The sequence below is a fragment of the Homo sapiens genome, chromosome 5 (genome assembly GCF_000001405.40).
Source record: "Homo sapiens chromosome 5, GRCh38.p14 Primary Assembly".
In the NCBI taxonomy this organism is placed as follows: domain Eukaryota; kingdom Metazoa; phylum Chordata; class Mammalia; order Primates; family Hominidae; genus Homo; species Homo sapiens.
In genome coordinates, this window is record NC_000005.10 from 7,654,341 (window position 1) to 7,678,802 (window position 24,462).

The 24,462-nt window shown below is 42.7% G+C and overlaps 1 protein-coding gene across 5 annotated transcripts in view, besides 3 other annotated features; it reads left to right on the forward strand.

The window, feature by feature from the left end:
- The window catches only part of ADCY2 (adenylate cyclase 2), a 433,944-nt gene that overhangs the window by 258,203 nt on the left and 151,279 nt on the right, over positions 1–24,462 (forward strand). The window lies entirely within an intron of this gene.
- Positions 8,810–9,383: an enhancer, noted in NCBI's record as "H3K4me1 hESC enhancer chr5:7663263-7663836 (GRCh37/hg19 assembly coordinates)". NCBI's record gives its function as "activates a minimal SCP1, AML or CMV promoter by ChIP-STARR-seq in naive H9 embryonic stem cells {active_cell/tissue: H9 hESC(naive)}" and the evidence as "EXISTENCE:reporter gene assay evidence [ECO:0000049][PMID:30033119]".
- Positions 9,384–9,956: an enhancer, noted in NCBI's record as "OCT4-NANOG-H3K4me1 hESC enhancer chr5:7663837-7664409 (GRCh37/hg19 assembly coordinates)". NCBI's record gives its function as "activates a minimal SCP1, AML or CMV promoter by ChIP-STARR-seq in naive H9 embryonic stem cells {active_cell/tissue: H9 hESC(naive)}" and the evidence as "EXISTENCE:reporter gene assay evidence [ECO:0000049][PMID:30033119]".
- Positions 12,672–13,871: an enhancer, noted in NCBI's record as "MED14-independent group 3 enhancer chr5:7667125-7668324 (GRCh37/hg19 assembly coordinates)". NCBI's record gives its function as "activates an origin of replication core promoter dependent on BRD2, BRD4, P300/CBP and CDK7 cofactors, and independent of MED14, by STARR-seq in HCT116 cells {active_cell/tissue: HCT116}" and the evidence as "EXISTENCE:reporter gene assay evidence [ECO:0000049][PMID:35650434]".

Genomic DNA, 24,462 nt, shown 5'->3' on the forward strand with positions numbered 1-24,462 from the left:
CGGGATCGAGAGAAGGTTATTTTACAGATGAGGGAATGAGCAGCATGCCTGTACGCTATGGAATGATCCAGCAGAGAAGGAAACATGGATGTTGTGGAGAGGTAGATAGGCTGTTGGAGCGACATCCTTGAGTAGGAAGGAAGGGATGGGTTCCTTCCATGAAGCTCTGACAGGAGCAGGAGCAGACATTTCCCCCTTACAGGAGGGATGTAGTGACATAGGCGGGGATGCTGGCAGGTGGTTGTTTCTCCTGTCTTTTATTAGAGTTATATGTGTTTCTGCCTTCTCATTTTACAAGTTTGTCATTTCCTCATGCTCTTTGACTTACTCCTTTTGTGTCTCCAAACACCCCACCTTCCTTGCCCTCCACCCATGCAAACACAGAGGGGTGGAAAACGGGAGCAGTTAATAAACATTGCTGCCACTGAAAATGCGAATGCCCAGAGGAGTGTACATGCCCAGGACTGCTGTCAATAGTAAGGGGAAGCAGCCTAGGACATCTTGAAATACTGAAAAGGAGGCCGAGATCTTGGGACCTGGAAATCCCTGTTTAGGGGAAAAAATGCAAATAAGCATTGCCTACTTGGAGAGTGGCACCTTCTGAAATGCATACCTAGAGGATGTGACTGGCTGAAACATTCGTGTTTCAAATTTTAGATGCCCTTTGAGATCCCTGTTAGGTTTTAGACACTGAGAGATCTAGAAATGTTGTTTCTGAGTTTGGGGTGGATGGCTCCCAAGGCTTTTGTCGTGGAAGTCGTCCTGAGCAGGCGTTTCCCATGACTGAGGGCTGGGACTAAGGAACCAACAGTAACTGTAAAGTGGTTGTGTAGGAAAGGGGCGCTACGTTCATGGCACTTTACCTGATTGTGTTATTTTGTTGCTTGTGTTGTTATTTCTGAGTGTCTGAATGTTTTTAGGACTGTATTAGTCAGGGGTCTTTAGAGAACAGAAGCCATAGGATATATACAGGAAGAGATCTATTGGGAAGTGTTCACTAACACAATTATGGAGATTGGGAAGTGCCAAGACCTGCCTTCTGCAAGCTGGAGGCCCAGGAAAGCCAGTGGTGTGACCCAGGCCAAATCTGAAGGCCTGAACGTCCAGGATGTAAAATCCCAGCTCACGAGAAAAAGACTGACGTTCCAGCTGAAGCCAGGAGGCTGGAAGCCAAAACAGGGACTAATTCCTCCTTCCTCCACCTTTTGTTCTCTTCTGGCCCTCAGTAGAGATTGGACGGTGGTCGCTCACACTGGGAGCGCAGTCTGCTTTACCAAGTCCATTGATTCAATTGCCAGTCTCATCTGCAGACACCCTCACAGACACATCCAGAAATCATGGCTCATCTGGGCATGCCGTGGCCCAGTCAAGTGGACATGTAGAATTAACCATCACGTGGCCCAATTAACAGAACTATAAGAAAGTACATGTTTTATTTGTCAGAAGTAAATGTACAGTTAGATGGTGTAGGAATTGTGGGGAAGCAAAACAAAGCCCTCACCCATCTGCATCTGATCACCTTTTGAAACACCAGAGTCTCCACAGTCTGGGTTCTGGAGCTCAGCTGTCTGGACCCAGATGCTTCTTCACCACCTGTGAGCTGTGTCCTGTAAAATAAGGGTATTTGTGATGTTAACATGGAAAGCAGTTGATACAGCACCTGTCTCATAGACACCTCTCCTCAAACATGAGCTGTTAGGTTTTTTTCATTTTCTTTTTTTTTTTTTTTTTGAGAAGGAGTTTCACTCTTGTTGCCCAGGCTGGAGTGCAATGGCATGACCTTGGCTCACTGCAACCTCCACCTCCCGGGTTCAAGCGATTATCCTGCCTCAGCCTCCCAAGTAACTGGGATTACAGGCATGTGCCACCATGCCCAGCTGATTTTGTATTTTTAGTGGAGACGGGGTTTCACCATGTTTGTCAGGCTGGTCTCGAACTCCTGACCTCAGGTGATCTGTCTGCCTCAGCCTTCCGAAGTGCTGGGGTTACAGGCGTGAGCCACGGCACCCGGCCAACTGCTAGTGCTAAAACACTTCCTTAGATGACTTGCATTGATCCTATGCTGATTCTACTCTTTAAAATTTTTCAGGATTGTTTACAACAAAATTAATCAATTGATTCCAAGTAATAAGCACTCTGGGAAAATTAATTGGGAAAATTCACTAAATGACATTATTGAACAGAAAGTCTATATAGAGCTATAAATACTTTTTAGTCTCTCATGTCAAAGGGGCCCTGAGGGCCTTCCTCATTGTCTGGGTAGCTGAGCAGCCAGTTGTCCCATCCCCACTCATAGCACTCGAACCAGAGTACAGAATTCTATATGGCAGCATTTCATCATCTCATTACATAAGCAAAGTGGGAAGGATGTGAGGGAGTGCACTGTGACTCAGGCAGATGTGCGATTGTAATCCCTCTGAAGGGGGATGAGAGATCCTGGGTTCAGGTATAGTCCCTAGGAATGAAAGCATCTGATTTTAGAGTCTGCAGTCTTCTATGACTGAGCTGTCAAATTCTGAACACATAGTAACGGTTGAGTATCCAGAATCTGAAAATCCAGAATCTGAAATGCTTCCGAATCGGAAACTTTCTAAGTGCCAACATGATACCACAAGTGGAAAATTCCACACACCAGTGCTTAACACAAATTTCATCACGTGCAATTATTAAAATTGTATGAATTATTCATATTGTATAAAATTGTTTTTGGGCTATGTGTATAAGATGTATATGCAAAAGTGGATTTCATGTTTACACTTGGGTCCTATCCCCAAGATATCTCATTTGTATATGCAAATATTCCAAGAACCAAAAAATTCTGAAATCCGAAACACTTCTGGTCCCAAGCATTTTGAATAAAGGATGCTCAACCTGTAATAACATGCTCCCCAAAATGAAGGAGTTTGGAAAGTGTTAGTCCACTGGAGGGCTGAGGAGGCAGGGTGCTGGATAGTTGAAAATCAGTGAAGCTCATTGAGTCATTGAGTGTCTGCTTCCTTCATCACGCATACTTTTCTGCGTATGCAGAATGTGTAGATTAGGGCAATGTGTAGATTAGGGCAAAGTCTTCTACAAACATGGGAATAAATATGTGCTATGATGCTGTCTTCCCTGAACATTAAAGTGACATGAAGTGATGATCAGGGTTAAATATGTCACAGTGGCTCTCCATTCCCAAGCCAATGCTATTCTCTGCCTGTGCTCCAGCCCCACACCATCTCCCTGCCATGCACACATGTGTACACATGCCAGGACACATTTTTAATTTTTAATGCATAAACAAAGTACTTAATAGGGGTATGCTCTTTCATTCTTTCCTGCACTAAGGGCGAAACACACGTGAGGGTTAATCACCTAAGTTCGCAAATCAAGGACCAAAAACATGTGCCTCCCCTGCAATAGAAATGTCTCCTCACCATGAGGTTTCCGGGGGTCACAAGTGTCTGTTCAGATATGCACAATCCAGACCTTTACTTTTCCCTCTCAGCTGAAACTTAGATGCCAAAATTCCCAGCAATTAGTTCTCCCGAAAAGCCATAAGAACCAGGCAGAGCAGACAGCTGTGACTGAGGAGGGAGGCAGCTCCCAGCTCCCACTGAGGCTGATGGACGGGAGGGACCATTCATTGGAAATGAGTGTCGCAGACCCAGACCCCCAGGTGCAGTGACATCTCTGCCTTCCTCAGGTCTCCAGTGGTGAATGCAGGAGTCCCTCACCCTTCGACACGAACCCTCTTCTAGGTTCAAAGAGGCAGATATCAAAGCTGATCAGCCAAAGACTTTTACTGAACATGGAGATCTTCAGTTGTACCCAACCAATGCACTGCACTGATGGACTGTTTTGAACCCCTGCACGCTGGGTGGAGAATATCCCTACCTTTCCTCAACTGAAGTTTCTGTTTCCATATAGTTGCTGTCCTCTCCAGTTTTTCTCATGAACCGGTTCCTTGAATCCCTTCTCCTGAAGATTTGTCCACTCTTGGGTTGTGCAGATCTTTGTCATGTTCACTTGCTTTTTTTCTATAAGTTTTTGTTTCTCCTTTTCACCAGTGAAGAGAATTGTGTGTGTGTGTGTGTGTGTGTGTGTGTGTGTATATATATATATATTTGAGATGGAGTCTCACTCTGCTGCCCAAGCTGGAGTGCAGTGGTGTGATGCAATGTCTGCCTTCTGGGTTCAAGCGATTCTCCTGCCTCAGCCTCCCGAGTAGCTGGGACTACAAGCATGAGGCACCACACCCACCAAGAAGTGTATTTACTGCATTGCTTCTGTAAAAAGCACAAATCTAAGGAAGCAGAAGGATTAAATTGTATAAATCTGAAGTGTATTAGTCAGAGTTCTCCAGAGACACAACCAATAAAATGTGTGTGTCTATGGAAAGACATTTAAGTTTGGTTCACACAATTATAGGGGCTGGCAATTCCAAAACCTGCAGGGTGAACTTACATGCTGGACCGAGGGAAGAGCAGATGCTGCAGTTCAAGTTCAAAGCCCGTTCACTGCAGTATTCCTTCTTGCTTGGGGGAAATAACTCTTTTTTTTCGAAGGCCTTGAACACATTAGGAAGAACAATTTGATTTATCACCAATTTAAATGCTCATTTCATCCAAAAACAACTCTCACAGAAACATCTAGAAAAATGCTTGACCACAACATATTTGGCACCATGGCCCAGTCAACTTAACACGTAAAATTTACCATCACACTGAATTTTCTTGGTGATTTGGTTTAAAACACTAAGATGCAGTTTATGTAGTCTTTTGAAAACTAAATATTTCAATGTGCTAATACTCAGATTCTGAGATGAAAGAAACGAGAAATGCTGCTGGCTAAAACTTTACAGAGGTTTGCTTTTCAGCATAGGTATGGTTTTCCTTATTCTGCAGCTGTTCACTCTATTCAATCCAGTTCCAGTTAAATAATGTGTAACTTAACTAATTACATACATCTCTCCAATGCAGTGCAATTTAAGATGAGATTTGGCATAAACCAACATGACTTCTTTGTGTGTATGTGTGAGTATGTACATTTGTGTTCTATTTATCTTTATAATACCCAGATTGCTGTACTGTGTTGGTTATTTCATTGTGTTTCACCAGCTTTTGAATGGAAATGGAAACAGTCTGGTTAAATTGACACCAAACTTATTGTCTCTTTCTCTGTAAATGTGCTGAAAACCTCTAGCAATTGGTGTTGAAACCCACAGCTCTGTGGTTTCTGAGAGTTATACTTGCAGTTAGTCCTCTTATGTCCATAGCTTGTAACAGGACACTTGTGGGACCAGGAAATTGAGTTACTAAAGGATAAGTAATACCTCTGCTGTGAGCCGACACCACCAGAATGACCCAACTTACAAGAAACAGTTTCATTATTCTTGTGCAATTTACATGAAAGTAGAGATTCCTAGGAGTAGTTGGAAAACTCGACTTTGCATTTAGAACTGTGGCCCAGCTACACACAACTGTCCAGGTGCTCGGCGAGAGCCTCCAGTTACATACTACCTGCTTTCCAAACTGGTGTGCCTAATAAATTGGCTATAACCAGATGACCTGTGTAAACACAGTAATAAAAGATGGAGCTACTTATGTAAGTGTGAACACCAAGTACAATATATTCTTACTTATAAGTGGGAGCTTAACATTAAATGCACATGGACACAAAGATGGAAACAATAGATACCAGGGATTGCTTGAGAGGAGAAGGTGGGAGGGGCCATGGGTTGGAAGGCTACTTATCAGGTACTATGCTTACTACTTCCATGAGTGGATCATTCCTACACCAAGATTCACCCACATGCAATTTACCCATTTAACAAATCTGTACACATACCTCCAGAACTCAAAATAAAAGTGGAAAAGAAAGAAAGAAAAGGATGGAGGGAGGGAGGGAGGGAGGGAGAGAAGGAAGGAAGGAAGGAAGGAAGGAAGGAAGGAAGGAAGGAAGGAAGGAAGGAAGGAAGGACTGTGAGAAAGGAAAAGGGAAGGAGAAGCTATATTGAGCTGCTCAGATCCTTCTCTGAAGAATGAGAGAGGCATGGGCAGGACAGGGTTGTTGACTCTGATTTTGCTCCCTTTACATATGGATTAGTGGGGCAGTCAGGGTTCTCCAGAGAAACACAAACAATGGCATAGGTGTATATATAGAGAAGGAAATTTACTTTAAGGAACTGGCTTATGCAATCACAGGTGCTGGCAAGTCTGAGATCTGTAAGGCAGGCCAGCAGGTTGGAGAGTAAGTTAAGAGTTGATACTGCAGTCTGGAGTCAGAAGGCTGGAGACATAGGTAGAATTTCCATTTTACAGTTTGGAGGTAGAATTCTTTCTTCTTCAGGGGATCTCAGTCTTCACTCTTAAGTTCTTCAGTTGATTGGATGAGTCCCAACCATGTTGTGAAGGGTAATCTGCTTTACTTAATCTGTCAACTAATTGTAAATGTTAATCACATGTTAAAAAAAAAATACTTTCACAGTGACATCTATACTACCATTTGCCCGAACAACTGGGCACAATGGCCTACTGAAGCTGACATAAAATTAACCATCTCAGCTCAGAAGCAGGGAAGGGTAGCTATGGGAGGTGAGGAAAGATCCTTGTACATGCTGCTGGAGGCAGAATCCAGTGTCCCAACACCAAGCAATGTAGAAACTCAAAAAATCTTCACTGCATGACTGGCTTCCCTAAGTCCCAAGGCAGTGTATTTCCTTATTTGTAAAGTTTTTTTTTAATTTTCTTTGGCTACTTGAAAACAAACAAGGGTGATTTGGACAGGGGTATATATCTCTAAAGCTTGGGGCATCAAAACTGTTTTGATTGTGCACACCTATGGGTAAATATTTTTGACCAGTCATTATATATATTTGCTTATTCATAAATTATATGTGCTAATATTTATGTAGATTATAAATCACAAGTTAAAATTAAGGGTAGACAAAGATTTAAAACATATTTTAAAAGATCTACTTTTTAATAGCTCAAAAATACTTTAAACCTTTAATATTTTTGGTAAGAGTCTTATGATGGAAAATGCATACTTGGCAAAAGCGAAAAAGAGGGACAAAAGAACCACAAGACAAACAGAAAACAGTGAACAAAATGGCAAAGGCAACCCCTCCCAATAAATAATTATATTAAATGCAAGTGGATTAAACTCCCAATCAAAAGGTATGTTTAGGAAAATTTTAGTTAACACTTTGCAATCAAATACTTGTTACAAAGATTGGTTTATCCCGACACTTGGTTTTAATGGTCGAATAAATGATTCAATGATGTAATACTCAGTGACCTGGCTTCCAAATCACGATATTCACTTCTCAATCCTGTTCACACTGACATGGAAGTTTTGATAAAATTCAGCTGATCTGTCTCCATCTGTCCTGATGTCAATCAGTTCTTGAAATTCAACCAAAAAAATTGTATTTTTATTTTTAAGCAAATGGATTTAAGACTCATTGAATCTTTATTTGGAAGATTTTTAACTGAATTTAAACATTCTTTTCCTAAGGTATATCACTGTGCAGATATGAGAGTGTTTAGAGTGTTTTTGTCAAGAAAATCACACAAAAAGACATTTCTAATTGCATGCTTTTCACAGATGATATCTCCATAGCATGTTCTTTTAAATAGATCATTTCTCACCTCATCTTTATTTTATTTTGAAAGCAAAGTCTCTTTTGCTGTGCAAGGTAACATATACACAGGTTCTTGGCATTCAGATGTGAATGTTTGAGGAAAGCCATTATTCTCCTTACCACGCATAGCCTCCTCACTTTTGTTAATCACTGTCACTCAAGGGATAACATAAAAGTTATTGGTACAACACACACAAACACCAAAAAGAAAAAATAATTTCTAGATTTTAGGGAGACAATACTGGGGTCTAAAGGATAACAGAACTCCTTAGGTTAGGATATCAGCATTTCCCAAACAAGCAAATGTGCAAAATTTAGCATCCATCAGTGTTCTGGAAGCAAGGGACCATTGGCGAATATACCTCTCCTCAATTTCAAGGTTACAGGCAGAAATGCAACTGAGACTCCTTCATCCAACTGTTGCTAGTGCAGATAACAGCTGCTGCCCCCTCCACGGCATAGTGGCCACCAGCACGGAAGTAGCCTGGTCAGTCTTTTCCTAGCCTTCCCAGCAGACAGATGTCCTCCTGCCTCTCTCTGCATGGCCAGCCTCCTGCCAGCCCAGCACGGCAGCACTGCCTTCAGTTCTATTTTTAATTTATAGTGCTGGGACCATGGATGTTTTAGTAGCATTTCACACAGCTTAGAACACATTTTGCATTAGGTCTAGAAAAGCATTGCCAAGAATACTTATTCTCTTACCCCCAAAGCCACCGCGGTTTCCTCCATCATCCTTAGCCTCACTTACCTGGATGCTGTTGCACACGGACCACCCTATCCTGGTTGTCAGCCTGCGTAAAGAATCTCCTGAAAGAGATTTTCATGAAAGGGCTTTACAGAAGGCAACAAGAGCACAGAGAAGTTCTGGGTACACTGCCTTTGGCATGCTCAGAAGCAGGTCCAATCCTAGCATGAGCAAGGAAATTGATAGAACCACAACAGTTTACCCAAACCATCGTCTGTTTAAAGAGTGGTATGAGGTCTTCACCCCATGCCTGCTTCTTTATGTCTGCAGTGAAATTCATACATTCATTTTGAATTAGCAATTGATTGTCAAACATCTGTTTAGTGTTGGATTAAGTAGATATTAGAGACCTAACGGAGAAATCCAGCAGTCCAGATCAACGAATATATTGATCTGTTTATCTCCTGGTTTTTATATCACTAGCAGAATTCTTAATACTACTAATAAGCATCTATTAAATTACTACAGTAGACAGAGTTAGGTACACACCTTCTAGATTGACACAGATTTAGCCACACCAAAAAAAAGGAAGAAAGAAACCTATAGCAGCACCAACTCATCACCCAGGCACTCCACATAAAGCATAAATGGCCCAGTGAAAAGCACAATTCCAGGAAGCCCCAGGCACTGACCCTATTCACGCCTAGCGTGAGAGTCACCCCATGTCTCTGGGTGCACTTTTGTGTTTGGCATCCTGCCCATTGCAGCACCTCCCACGGGGGGGCCTGGAGCCTAGTACCCAAGCCTCAGTGCCCACCAACAGACCTCAGGACTGTGCACTGTAACTGAGAAACTCTGAAGACATTCATGGCTTCTGCATTAGTGAGCTTGGGAATCTCATGTTGGAGGAAATGAATTAAGGGTGTTTATTCCAGGTCCTTTGGAAGAGCCTGGAATGGGGCTTACTTAGGGCCTGCCACTTTCATGATCTTGATCATTGAACCTTGTTTCTTCTGGAAGACCAGCCAGAGCCCTCCATAGATGGACCGCTGCATGAGGCTGTTGGACGAAGCATATTTGGTCAGGCCGATAGGCTTGGGGTCGGGATTCTAGCAAGTGGGGCCCTGAGATTAATGACAAACACCTGAGGCCAGGCACACCCTCTGCAGAGTTTTGCATAGCTCAGAACTCTCTCTTGGAAGGAGGTTTATGCTCTGTGCTATACGGGAAATTTTCTCTAAACTGGGAATTGCAGAGGTCAGGAAGGTATCTGAAGCAACTGAAGAAGTTCAAGCTGGAAGAGGATTTCCGAAGTGTGACTCTTTGGAGAGGCCATTGTGTGGATCCAATGCCTAAAGTACCCTTTCCATTCCTTTGAGCTCAAGCTGGAAGCTTCCAGGTTTAGCATGACAAAACCCTACAAACTGGAAGTGGGTTTTCAAGGTAACACTAGCAGTTTCTGTTTATAGAAACCATCGAAATGGAGGTTAAATGAACATTTCAAAAGAATTTGTTTGTAAAGCCTTCTAATAAAAACATTTAATGGCAAAAGATGGGACCAAATAGCCTAAAGGACATAGCCACAAACTGTTCAATGTGAAAAACATGTGATTTTTTTTTCTCTCAGCTGAATTGAAAACTCATTTTAAAAATTTTACTTCAACTGTAAAGAACTATTCGTTTTTACAATAAGACTCTCACTTTCCTCCAGTAAGACTTTCACTTTCAGAGAGCGATGGTAAGGGAGGACTTTCCCTTCAGGAATGGAAAGGAGACACTCCCTGCTGGGGAGCACTGGCTTGACAGGCTTGCCATTGAGAACTAAGCTCTGACTTTTTATCTTGCCCAATTTCCTATCTAAGGGGTCTGGGGAGTCATGCCCTACAAACCATACATTCTCATCACATGGGTTTTCTGTGACCCTGTATATCATGACTTACTTTCCAATCTGAGCATAACGAGGAAGAAAATCAAAATGTTTTACCCCAAAATATATTTCCTTGCTATACCTTGAAATTGCCCTGCAAAGTCTCTTGTGGGAAAAATCACCTTCTATAGAGAATCCCCATTTTTTCCTTCTTCCTTTCCAGACCCAGGAAATCATCAACTAAGAGACAGGCACCCTTTTAGGTCTAATAAGAAACATTTTACAACCTGCGCTCTCTCTGAAGTCTGCTATCTGAGAGATTCCTCTGCACAGTACAACTTGGTCTCCACAGTCCTTTACCTTAACCTCAACATTCCTTTTCATTGATCCCAGGTCTTCAGATAAACTCAAACCAATTGTCAACCACAAAATGTTTAAATTTACCTATAGCCTGGGAGCCCCGCCCCCTCCTCCTCACTTTGAGTTGTCCCACCTTTCTGAAGCAAATCAATGTGTTTCTTAAATGTATTTGATTGATGTCTCATGCCTCCCTAAAATATATAAACCCAAGCTGTGCCCCAACCACCATGGACACATGTTCTTGGCAACTCCTGAGGGCTATGTCACAGGCCATGGTCACTCATATTTGGCTCAGAATAAGTCTCTTCAAATATTTTACAGAGTTTGACTCTTTTCATCAACACCATTGTCCTTTCCTTCCCTTCTTTGGCTGCATTTAAAGGCAGCAGTGATCACAGCTGCCGCCTGGATGTCCCAGTTGTCCATCTGGATGTCCACCAAGATAGCTTCCCAGATAACAGCCAGACCTTTCAATCCAGCCAGGGCTGGCCTTTCCCATTGGGAACTCAGCAGTGTAATTTGTCAGCACCCCAAACACGCACCCCACTCTTGCACCAGGCTCACAGACACTGAGGCATCGAAAGCAGAAAGTAGATTATCTATGAATTGATGCTGAGCAGTCCCACCTCATCCATGTGTGACTCCCCCCTTTGCAGGTCAGTTACCTTCATCATCGTGCCCCACAAGTAGAAATAAGATCAAGTGGAGCTTTGGGACTCCTTGTCGTGACGAGGTCACACCTGGACATGGATGATGGTCTTGAACCCAACTGGTCTCTCCTGGGGCCTTTCCTTAGGTCATCGCTGGAGAGACACTGGCTCGTTTCCTTCTCCTGCTCTTTTTCCTTGTATTTCAGCTGCTGCCCGGCCACATCTCTATCTCTCTGATATTACTCTTTAAGATATCTGTTCTGGGTCTATTTATGTTTTGTTTTTTTTTAATTTAATTCTTTTTTTTTTTTTTTTTTTTTTTTTTTTGAGACAGAATCTCGCTCTGTAGCCCAGGCTGGAGTGCAGTGGTGCCATCTCGGCTCACTGCAAGCTCTGCCTCCCGGGTTCACGCCATTCTCCTGCCTCAGCTTCCTGAGTAGCTGGGACTACAGGCACCCGCCACTATGCCCGGCTAATTTTTTGTATTTTTAGTAGAGACAGGGTTTCACCATGTTAGCCAGGATGGTCTCGATCTCCTGACCTCGTGATCCGCCCGCCTTGGCCTCCCAAAGTGCTGGGATTACAGGCGTGAGCCACTGCGCCCAGCCCTTATTTAATTCTTAGGAAAAAAAGTCTTTAATCACTTTGTCTAAATTCTATGAGAGATAGGAACCACCTCCGTATACCACCGACATGTTAAAGAGGCCATTTCCTAGGCTGCCAGGAGGAAAGGAACTAGCATTTATTTGTGCTCCTGTTACACCAGGACCATTTTGTCACCCAGGCTGGAGTGCAGTGGCGCGATCTCGGCTCACTGCAAGCTCAGCCTCCCAGGTTCACACCATTCTCCTGCCTCAGCCTCCTGAGTAGCTGGGACTACAGGCGCCCGCCACCACGCCCGGCTAATTTTTTATATTTTTAGTAGAGATGGGGTTTCACCGTGTTAGTCAGGATGGTCTCGATCTCCGGACCTCATGATCCGACCGCCTCGGCCTCCCAAAGTGCTGGGTTTACAGGCGTGAGCCACTGTGCTTGGCCGGGTGGAGTTTTCTTTATGGGTCTGATGATGATACTGAGATTCCCATACGTAAAGTCCAAGATTGCACAGCTGTGTATAATGTCTGCATTGGGACTTCAGCCCCCATTATCTGGTTCTAAATGCTCAGCTCTTTCCCACATGGGGCCTCAGTGCCAGTGCTGGCGGTGCCTACGGCTCTGTGCTCAGTTGATATTGCCCCCCTGGCTTCCTGCCTTCCTGCTCCATCCTCTCCCACTGTGGGTCAGGGTCATGGATTCTATTCCCTAGCAGTTGGTCTTCCCTCCGTGTGCTTGCGTTTTTCCCTGGAACATAACTCTTACAAAACAGCTACCAAGGTAGCTGGTTAATTACTAGTCTCAGCTTCATGCCCCAGTTCCTCTGCATAGACTAAGGACTCCTCAGGGATGGGTTGTGTTCTAGGCACCTGTTTGTCCTCAGTAGCTAGCGCTGTCCTGGAACTTGATGGGATAGCCCAATGTATATCAAGAGATGGATGGATGAAGAACGGCAAGACTCATGCTCGGGTAAATAAAAGAGCATTCAGAGCATATGAGCAAATAAACTGTCTCACAAGCTGTCAGAAGGGGAGAGGATTACTGCAGCTACTTCCAGGCTTTTCCACTTTCCTGATGAGGGAAAGTGCAAGAGTAAACAAATAATAGGTGTCTCGGCGGGGATGACTGACATGTCTTGGGAAGGAAAGCTTCATGTTCTTTCTTCAGTTCTGCCTTCAGGCTTCAATATGTAGATGTTTTGCAAAGGTCGCGTGTTCCACTCTCAAACCATCAGAAAGTTTCAGGCTAAAGAGACCTCAGAACAGGAGAGCCAGCATTCTTGGTATCTGTTCATCTGGTTCCAAACTCCAAAAGATATCTACATTTTTTTGAGTAACTGTTTCTCAGTATTTAAGATGTGTGATTCATTGACTTTTCTTCATACTTTTAACATGATAATATCCCCTTCCAAGCTCATAAAATAACATGTCAAGACTTGTTCAGGAGTGAAAAGGCCATTCTGTCTGTCGGAATGAATACATTCTACACTGATGTGGGTAGCACAATGAGGTAACCATTGTATATGATAACAATTTTGTGTATCATCTTCCACTAACTAAACTTAACTAAATTTTCATTGCCTTTAAGTAATTAAATCAATTAAAATGAAAGTATTCCATAGTTGGAAAGGATATTGAAAGTGAAAGCAATGCTTATTTAACCTCCCTCCCTCTATTAAGAAGACGTTCTAAGCGTTGATGGTGTAGACATGGGGTCTGCTCACTACGACAGTATCAGGGATGCAGAGGTGATGCCATGGTGATCTGGTGTGACTTCTGTAGAACAAGGACTTCTTCTTTGCTGACAGCTACCTGTCTGTGCCATTTCAGGTAAATGGGCTACTCTCCTGGAGAATAAGACAGGAAAAATGAATTGTATGATCCCTCTAGATTTCAACACAAACAACTCCAGTGAAAAATTAGTGAGGATGAGAGGAAATATTTTTTCTACAAAGTATGTGCTTCATTATTTAAGTTGTCTGAAACTATGGTGGGATGGTTAATGTGTCAATTTGGGTAGGCCATGGTACCCAGATATTTGGTCAAAGACTAGATGTTTTTGTGAAGGTTATTTTTAAGATGAGATTACCATTTAAATCAGTAAACTCTGAGTAAATCAGATTACCCTCTATAATGCGGGTGAGCCTCATCCATTCAGCTGAAGGCCTGAAGAGAAAGACTGAAATCTCCAAAGGAAGAAGGAATTCTGCCTCCAGGCTACCTTCAGACTGCTCATCTGCCCTGTGGAATCTTAACTTGCCAGCTCCTGCAGTCACATGAGCCACTTTCTAAAAGTAAATGTTCTCTCTCTCTCTCAATAGACAGATAGACAGCAATGGACACATCCTATTTTTTCTGTTTCTCTGGAGAACTAACTAATACACATGGGTACTTCAGAGATCACTAGAAATCAGAAGAATAACATGGAGAATTTAAAAACAATAAGCACACATTTGAAAATACTGATCTAGAAAACAAGAGTTTTTGTTTTTTAATATAAATATGTTTATGTGGGGAAAAATAATTGATATGAACAGAAAGGGTGTGTTTTTAATGGTGGAGAGAAAAGAGTATGGCATTACTTGTCTTATAGCTAAGACATTTGTCAGACAAAGGTTTTCTTGTCTTTCATCTTCCAGTCATCTGAGATCAGCTTGGCATCAGAAGATGCCAGCTGCTCTGAAATTCCAACCCAAAGATGTGAAGTGTGATGAGGATGTGATGTTGCTCAACAACTTGTTCAGTCTATACTAATTTTGGAATAGCCTGAAATCCACCATAGCTCCAGTCTTTACTAATTTAAGAGTAGCCTGGAATCCATGTCTACTCCACTATTTTCCTGAAACATAATTCTATATTGAAATGTGCCTGGTTCTAACTGCACCCAGTATGAGGAGGCACAGCAGGCAGCCATCCTGGGCCTGATGGTGGGAAGCAGTGCACCTTGTGAATATTGTGGGAATCACCTGAACTGCTGACACTTCTAAAAAGGAGGAAATGAACAAGAATTAGAGGGAATACACTGGTAGGAACAAAAGGAATCAAGAGTGTAGATGAGCCAAGTCCAAATTCCAATACAGTAAATAGCCAAGTAAAGCAGAAGGAATATCTCTTCCCCTCTAAACTAATAAATACTTACCTGGGTCGAAGGGTGGTGAGAAGCCAGACAATCTAGGACTGTCCAGGTGTGTGAGTCTAAGCAGGAGTTCCCAGATGGACACGGTAGGTCAGAGGGCTGAGTTTGTACACAAAGCTCGGGAGACCATTCATTGGGAGAACTGCAAATCAAATGATATAGGGGAGGATCTGGGTGCATTGGGATCACATTGAGAGATGAGAATCCAGATCCCAGAAAACTTGGTATCCCTGGCCAAGGAATTTACGTTTTACCATTCAGATGGGTGGTTTTCAGTTTACGTGGCACTGGTTAGTGGGTCATGAAATCAATTCCATGGGTTGCAATTTGCATTTTTACAGAATAGAATAGAAAATGTCAGCGCATTTCATGTAAAAAAGGTAAGTTTTTGTGGGGGGAACCAGTTGCTCCAGTTACATCTCTCTCTATTTATTATCAGTGTGTACGTGCACAGGGTTTTCTTCCAGTCCATCAATCCTAATCACACAGGTCAAAAGCCACTGCTGCCGGCAATGGGGAACCACTGAAGAGTTTAAAGTTGCAAGCAGCAGGGTTAGCTTTTGCATTTAGAAAGATACTGTTGTTTCAGAGACAGGATAGATGACACGGGCAGGGTTATGTAGAGGATGGCTTTGGGATACTGTAGCTCTGCCACCCCCAGGCAATGTGAGCTTAGGTCATGTTCCTCAATGGTTTATGGGCATAGTCACCATTCCCAACATATGGGCTTTCTGTGTTTCTTATGGCCCAGCACATGGTGCCTGGCTCAGGGTAACCACTCCAGACAGTTAAGTTGTCACCAATGTTATTTTTTCATTTACTTAATATTTTGGGTTTTAATGTATTTATTTTCATTCATTGCCCAGTATATGAAAAACACTGCATAATCAGCCTAAAAATAGGCCATATGGACTATGAGACCTGCAAACACTACAGGGAGGCGTGGCACTGAGGGCCTTTCAGTGGTGAAAGATGGTGGTGCCCCTCCCACTTTTCACTCTGCCTCTTTCTAACCAGTTTGATTATTCCGTGTCTACCTAGTTTAAGAGACTGTGATAGCCCGAGCCGATGGGACTGAGCTTATGTCTCATAATAATATCCATTTTCTCAATATTGATTGAGTAGGTATTGTGTGTAAAATATTTGATCATTTAAAAAATGGTTATATTTATTTTTGTGACAAAATGTACATGGACTGAATGGCTTTATTCAGCACATATACTACTATGCTATTATTTAACCTTATAACAGAAAACAAAAACTTGGTTTATATACTAGAAATATATGCTCAATGGTACATGGAATATGTGCACACATGCATGTTATAAAATAGCCATCTCCAACCTTTTTGACACCAGGGACGGGTTTTGTAGAAGACAATTTTTCCACAGATCAGGGGAGAGGATGGTTTTGGGATGAAACTGTTCACCCTCAGATCATCAGTCATTAGATTCTCATAAGGAGCACGCAACCTAGATCCCTCCCGTGCACAGTTTACTATAGCGTCCATGCTTCTGTGAGAATCTAATGCTGCCGCTGATCTGACAGCAGAGGCGGAGCTCAAGCGGTAATGCTCACTAACCCACCACTCACCTCCTGCTCTGCGGCCCAGTTCCTAACAGGCCAGCCAGTCTTTGGCTTGGGGGTTGGGGACCCCTACTCTAAAATGAACTCCATTGATCCCATATCTGCTATTCCATATCCCATGTGATAACTTTTCTAAGATTCCGTCTCTGGGTAGTGCTTTATTTCTTCTTGAGGAAATCAATCTTTAATGTGATTTTAATTATTTTAGAGACAGATGTTAGGCAAGAGAGGAATTTTGCAACTAGAAATGATCATGACCACTTCAGTTCTTCAGCTATGAACAGCATGCCTATGTGTATTTTAAATCCAGTCTTGCATCTTCTTTATTTGTATAACAAGCATTAGAAAACATTTTGATTGATCTGGTTTTCAATGGAATCATATTGTTAAAATTTTGCTTAAGATATGTGTCATAATGGGAAAAAAAGTTAAGGTATTTCCCAACTTTTTCAGCTGGTTATTTGGGGCATTTCACTACTAATTTTGGCAATTTCCCAAAGGCAAAATGCTACAAAACAAAATTCAGTAAAAAAACAAACATATTCAGTGGTTTTTCTACTTAATGATCACTCATAGACAATGATGCTCGAGTGAGCATGGGATAGTCAACAGGGAAACGGAGGAGGATTTATGTTTAGTATTAATTACACAACTGAGAAATAGTTCTCTCCATCAAAGAGCTGCCTTGGAAACTTCTTATTGTTCACTATGAGTGTGGTGGAGACATCCGTGACAGCATATGAATCAAACTAATTGTAACTCTTACTTGGTGATGAAAAAAAAATGACATGTGCGTTCTTCTAAATTAAGTCTTTCTCACACAAATTACTGGTTGCCACCGTAAATCAAGCAACATGTGTTTTGAATTCTGACTGCTAGAGAATTAGCTACTGAGTGGGGAAATGAGATACTTTTGTTTGCAGCTACACTCAAGTAGACTTTTTTTTTTTGGCTTTATCTAAAAATACATGTTGTAGAAGTATTGACTCACCAGCTTCTACAGCAAGAAAGATATTCAGAGTGTTAGTCCGGCCCCTTCATTTTCAGGTGAGGAAAATGATGCCCCGGAAGGTTAGGGAGTGACTTGGAGTCTCATTCAAATGAGTGGGTGAGCTTGGACTTGAATTTCCATTTTCTGGTTTTGGTGCAGTGACTTTTGTGCTCTCTGATGGCTGCTATCTCAGTAGCAAGCAGTCACCTAAATTCAGACGTGGCCAGGTCCCTGCATAAGCCCATATACTATCAGGACACAAGGAGGTGGTGGGGTGGGATTTGATCCAGACTCTTGACTCCAAAGCTACCACACTCTCCTTCTCAGCTGAGAACTCAGTGATAACTTAAAATTTATTATTTTCTAAAAGATCTATTGTATGGCTTTTATTGTAAAGTACAACATGTTAAGTAAGCTGTGAGTGTCAAATTATGGAGATAATAGTAAAAATGCCCTTCGGATGAAGGATATAAACTTTATTGTCCTTAATTCAATTGTCAGTGACATTTTTAATGTGTCTGCAATGCCTTTAACTTTGAAACTTTTCAAGGGAACTTTCTCTATACTGGGAGTCATCAAACTACCGCCTGTGGGTCAAATCTGGCCTGCCACCTGTTTTTATGTGGCCTGAGTACTAAGAATGGTTTTTATATTGTTAGATGATTTTTTTTTTTAAGAGAGAGGGTGTTGCTCTATCACCCAGGCTAGGCTAGAGGGCAGTGGTGCCATCATGGCTTACTACAGCCTCGACCTCCTGGGCTTAAAGGATCCTCCTGCCTCAGCCTCCCGAGTAGCTGGGATTACAGGTGTGAGCTACCACTTCTGGCTGATGTTTTAAAAACTAAATATATGTATCTTATTACAAGTGAAAATTATATGAAATTGTTTATTTTTCACAAATCAAGTTTTATTGGAACACAGAGCCACACTCATTCATTTGCACATTGGCTATGGCTGCTTACAGTCTACAGTGGCAGAGTTGGGTAGTCATGGCAGAGAGGCCATGGTGCTCAAGGCCTGAACTATTCACTTGCAGCCCTTTACAGGGGTGGTATGCCAGCCCCTGCTCTGCTCCGCCTGAATGGAGGCTCCATGTCCTGGGATGTCATCCCACAGTGCTGTGACTCTGCCTCTTTCCTCTGAGGCTGGAGACACTATAGTATCCCACACCACACAGAGGACATGCCTCCTTGGAAGGGTCAGGAGTACTATATCATGTAATTTTATTAACCAAGTTACTTCATCACATGCTTAAGCAAAACCGAATTTTATAAACTTAACAATGGTTGGGTGCAGTGGCTCGTGCCTATAATCCCAGCACTTTGGGAGGCCAAGGCAGGTGGATCACTTGAGCTCAGGACTACAAGACCAGCCTGGGCAACATGGTGAAACCTTGTCTCTCCAAAAAAAAAAAAAAAAAAAAAAAAAAAAAAATATATATATATATATAAAATTAGCCAGGTGTTGTGGAACATGCCTGTGGTCCCAGCATCTCAGGAAGCTGAGGCATGAGAATCACCTGAGCTCGGAGGTGGAGGTTGCAGAAAGCTGAGATTAAGCCACTGCACTCCAGCCTGGGTAACAGAGTGAGACTCCGTCTCAAAACAAAACAAAACAAATCAAACAAACCTACAATGTGCACGAAACCTGATGTGATAGCCTGTGTTAAGCCAGCTTCTGCACCTCAGCACTGTGGGCATTGGAGTTGGGTACTTCATCGAGGTAGGGTCCACCCTGTGCCCTGCAGGATGCATAGCAGCATCCCTGCCCTCTGCCCACTGGGTCCAAGTAGCCTTTCTCCAGGCTCTGCCCAACCTCCACTCGTGTGGGGAATGAAGTTGTCCCTGGTTGCAACCACTGGTTTAGAATGCAGCCCCGCAGGAAAGCCAATAGGCAAGAGGTGGGGGACAGGGGAAGCTGAGACCCTGACAATACGTAGTAGCCAGAGGCCTCAGAGCAGGGCTGGGAGGCAAGATCATGAAGGGCAGCCTCCAGGGCTGTTGTATCCTGGAAGCTGTTTCCATTCTATTTGAGGCATGTCTGTGAGGCCACTGGAATGTGTTCTGGGATTCCTACCCCCCGATAAACTTACGTTGTCAGGGCACCTAAGCACTCTTAGTTCCTTACACCCATGTGTCCAGTGGGAGAAAATGATCCACTGGAAGATGAAGGAGGAGGAAAGGCTGTTCCCTGGGTTTAGCCGCCCGCTGGCAGGGGCCTCAGAGGGTAGGGTCCAGTCTCAGCGTGTGTCGTCAGCTGTCCCTAGCTTCGGTGTTGGATTGACCCCCACTGCTCCCTCCTGGCCCCCACGGCATCACTCCTTGCACTTGTGGTGGTGGTCGTGGTGAGGTTGTTTTCTGCTTCATTTGGGAGCCAGTAGGAGCATCGTATTTCCAGGCTCCTGGCCTTCACATCTTACCCCTTTTCCCGCTGTATGGGAGGCTGGCGATTCAGTGGTTTCGGTGTGGGGTGGGTGCAGTTTACGTACTTAGTGCTCTATCTGCTTTGAGGCGGGCAGAGGGAAGTATTGGTGCGGGGAGGGCGCCCACAGGACAGCAGGGCTGGCTTTCTCCCTGTGTTTGGTTACGCGCCATTTCGAGTGTGCTCACCCCCTGGAGGGGAGCAGATCTCTTGCCAAGGAGGACAAACTTGGGGTTCCATCCATTCCTCAGCCTGGAAGGCTTCATTTCTAACCAAGAGAAACTGTTCCATTTTATTCATTTTTTAAAACACTTTCTGTGTTTCCAACCAAGCAATGATTTTCATCATCCTTAGGTCTGAAATTGAATATAGCTGTTAGCCCCACTTTGTGGGTATTCAGAAGAATTCTCTGACTTTGTCAGTTCTGAGCCACTGCTTGGAGGGGTGGGGAGGGTTAAAAGTCAAGCACACCTCCATCTTATGCTTAGCTCTGGAATCTTCTTTCTCCTCTTGGCCACTGATTTTTGAAGTTTATAATACTGAACCATGACCTTTTTTGTGTCGTGGCTGTAGTGGTGAATTTCCTTTGTTGCATTTTAGAAATTTGGTCTATTTTGGCTGGGCGCGGTGGCTCACGCCTGTAATCCCAGCACTTTGGGAGGCCGAGGCGGGCGGATCACGAGGTCAGGAGATCGAGACCATCCTGGCTAACATGGTGAAACTCCGTCTCTACTAAAAATACAAAAAATTAGCTGGGCGTGGTGGCGGGCACCTGTAGTCTCAGCTACTCGAGAGGCTGAGGCAGGAGAATGGCGTGAACCCGGGAGGCAGCAGAGCTCGCAGTGAGCCGAGATAGCGCCACTGCAGTCCGGCCTGGGTGAAAGAGTGATACTCTGTCTCAAAAAAAAAAAAAAGAAAGAAAAAAAGAAAAAGAAATGTTGGTCTATTTTGTTAGGTATTGTATAGGGAAGTTCTACCCAATCGTTTTAATATGACACTAATATTTGGCCACCCGTATTCATATCTTTATGGTTATCAAAAAATGGAACCATAATTATTGATCATTATTAAATAAGTGAAATAAACATCTGGAAGTGCAAAGAATGTGTAAATAAAATGCATTATTTCTGCCTGCCCTTCCCCCACCAAATGATTTGGAGGGCAACTGGGATGACCAATGTAAGTGAAAGAGTTACAGAATAATTAAGTGACAAGGGGCACTACTGACTATGTGCCATCCTAATTCAGAGAAAAGAAGGATGCATGTAGGCTTGAACTTGTCAAAAGAGACTTTGCGCCCGTCGAGGCTAACATATGAAGGTTTTCTGCAAACCAGGCACTGTTCCATTGTGGATATTAATTCCTTTAACCCTGCGATCCCCTACCACTGTGGGGCAAGAGCAGATTTTAAAGGAGAAGTAGTAACAAAACCAAACAAAATATATCAGGAGAGACTGTGCAGGGAAGAATCAGCAGCCACAACTCTCTAGAATGTTAATGAAATGGTGGGCAGGTGTGTAGGTAGGACTGGATCCAATTATGAACTTCGTGGGCATGTTTAGGCTTGAAGTTCTTTTAGCAGTAGTAGAGGACTCCAATGAGTTTACTAGGTAATTGATATCGTTGGTATTATGTTGATGATATTAGCAAGTTAAGACTAGCGAGTGTATAGTTTTCCCGATAAAGAACATTTAGCTACAGGAGAACATTTGTGAATTCAAGTATTTATTATATGATGTTTTTGAAATAATCACTTTGAAAGTTAATAAATACTTCTGTTTTACTTTTCAGATGTGTTACTTTAAAACAAGATACTCTATTCTGTAGCTTTGCAGTATTGGGTAAATGATGAGTGAGGATCAGACATTTGATGTGAGTTTCAGTTTTGAATCCAAGTTGCATAAAAAGCCTGAGATTCATCTACTGAATTGAGAGTTTTGAACATTTAAGGATCTTCTGCTCTGTCATAATTGCTTATATCATATGCAAAGAACATCTTGCTACGGGTAGTGGTATGGTGTGCTTTTATCAGCTAGCAAAAAAGTATTTAAGTAAAATCACTAAATAGATAGTCACTAAATAGAGAACAGAACAGTCCCAGATATTTCAATGGATCACTAAAGGATGAATCATGAAACATACCTAAATGTCATTTCATTAATTTCCTTCTTTCTTTGTTCAAAATTGTTTATTAAATCTTCTCAAACCTGTCTAATTTTTGTTTACTTTAATTTTCTTGACAAAACATCAACATGAATTAAAAAAAAAATACTTTCTGAGATAATTCATATGGATTTACGTCTACAACAGTCTTAAAATAAACTGAAAGTGAGTCACTGCATTTGTAGACAGCTGCTTCATTTCCATTGTCTGTCTTGTTTGTTTTAAGGCATTTCTAAGAATTATTTGCCAAATGTTAATTTGAGGTAGAAGCCACAGTGTGAGCTGAGTGATAATAATTTGCGTATTCACCCTATGTCCTCCTAGAAGGACCAATCCTTCTGTGTCTTATCCTGTGGAGTTTCAGTCCAGCCTTGGCCATACGTTTGGACAAGAATGAACAGAAGAGAAATATATTGAATATAGAACTGGACACAAGGTGAATTCACAGAAATTCAAACTGGAATTTAGGTAGCTGAAACTGGACTTGAAGTTGGAGTTTCTGTATTGCCTGCTCTCAGGGCCCCTTATGGAGAGGACCTGAGCCCCCAGATTCACTGTAGAAATTCTTTAACCCAGCCGGGTGCGGTGGCTCACACCTGTAATCCCTGCGCTTTGGGAGGCCGAGGCAGGCGGATCACCTGAGGTCAGGAGTTCGAGACCAGACTGGCCAACATGGTGAAACCTCATCTCTACTAAAAATACAAAAAGTTAGCAGGACTTGGTGGCACGGGCCTGTAATCTCAGCTACTCGGGAGGCTGAGGCAGGAGAATCGCTTGAACGCAGGAGGTGGAGGTTGCAGTGAGCCGAGATCACGCCACTGCACTCCAGCCTGAGCAACAAAAGAGAAACTCCATCTAGAAAAAACAAAAACAAACAAACAAAAAAAAAGAAATTACTTAACCCTTGGTTCCACCAAGCCTTTGGAACCATTAATGTGGGAGGAGCCTGTCATCCAAGCTGTGGCAGATGGAAAACATGAACGGTTCCTCTCCACGATTGAATCTGGGAGGGCTTGGGACTTACGTTGACTAACAGGAAATAGGGTAGTGACTGTGAATTCTGGAGTCCTGGCCTTATAAGTTCTTGAAGATCCTCTCTCATTTCCTGGGACTGCTGCCCTGAGAACACCATTAGGGAAGCCAGTCCAACCTGGCAGAGAATGAGTCTCCACATGGAGAAGACCCAAAGTCCCAGCCCATGGCCAGCAGCAATGGCCAGAAAGACATGTCACTGGGGCCAGCTTGTAGGGTCAGCCCACCTTCCAGCCGAGCACAATCATGGGATTGTTGACAGCAAAACCAGGAGGACCCAGTACCTAGCCACCCAGCCCACTGAATCAGGAGAAGAAAATCCATCATTGTTGTTCCAAACCACTAGTTTTGGGGTGATTTGTTTTGCAGCAATAGATGATTGAAATATTAATGCTTCCTAAACCAAGCCAGGCTTGAGCTCAAGTCAGCGTGGGTGCATAGCTGGTGAGAATAACACATTATTTTCCTTAGAAATCTCTGCATAAGATTTAATATTTTACCAGACTCAGCTTTATACATGTCAATTTAGTACTCTTAAGCATCTGTTTACTGTTTGATAAATATTTTTGTTGGCATGACAAAGTTGAGAATTCCTGAGTTTGTTTATGCTAATGTACTTATTCAAATTAATCAATAAATATTTTTTAATGTAATATAGCATTTTCTCATTAGCCATGACTTCCATTTCCATGCTGATCTTGATTTCTGCTTCCTGGCAGAAAACTTGCCTTCTTTTCACTTTGGCAGGGCTGCAGTTTATAAGTTATTCATTCCCTTTTTGGCTCTTCCACACTCAATTCTGGGCCACATGTCTTCTGTCATGGCGTGTAGCTGGAGTCAGCCACAGGAGTAGCGTTCAACGATGTGATTAACATGAGCGCTTGGACTTGTACCTACAGAATAACAGAAAGGAGAATGTTGCTTCATCAGCCCTAGAAAGATCAGATATCAGAAGACCTTTGAGAAACACATTGGAAAGAATTAAAGTACTCTTCCTTCTCTGCAGTTCCCCTGGAAATCTATGCATGCATATCAATAATGCATATTGTGATAAAATTGAAAGAGAGAGATGTACACACACACATAATATACATAACATATACATATATATTTATATACATCTTCCAATCAGTTCTTCTAATGGAGAAGACACATAGGTGTTCAACAGTAACCAAAAATAGAATTCAAAGTGTATTTACTTTTCTGCTGTCACCCTCAAGGATGTCTTACCATTTCCTCCTGACACCTTGTTGAATGGGAGACACCTAGAACTGAAAGAGACAGCAGTAATATACCTCATCATTTCTCAGGCGAAAGGTCAAGAGGTTATGTAATTTACCCATTGTCCAC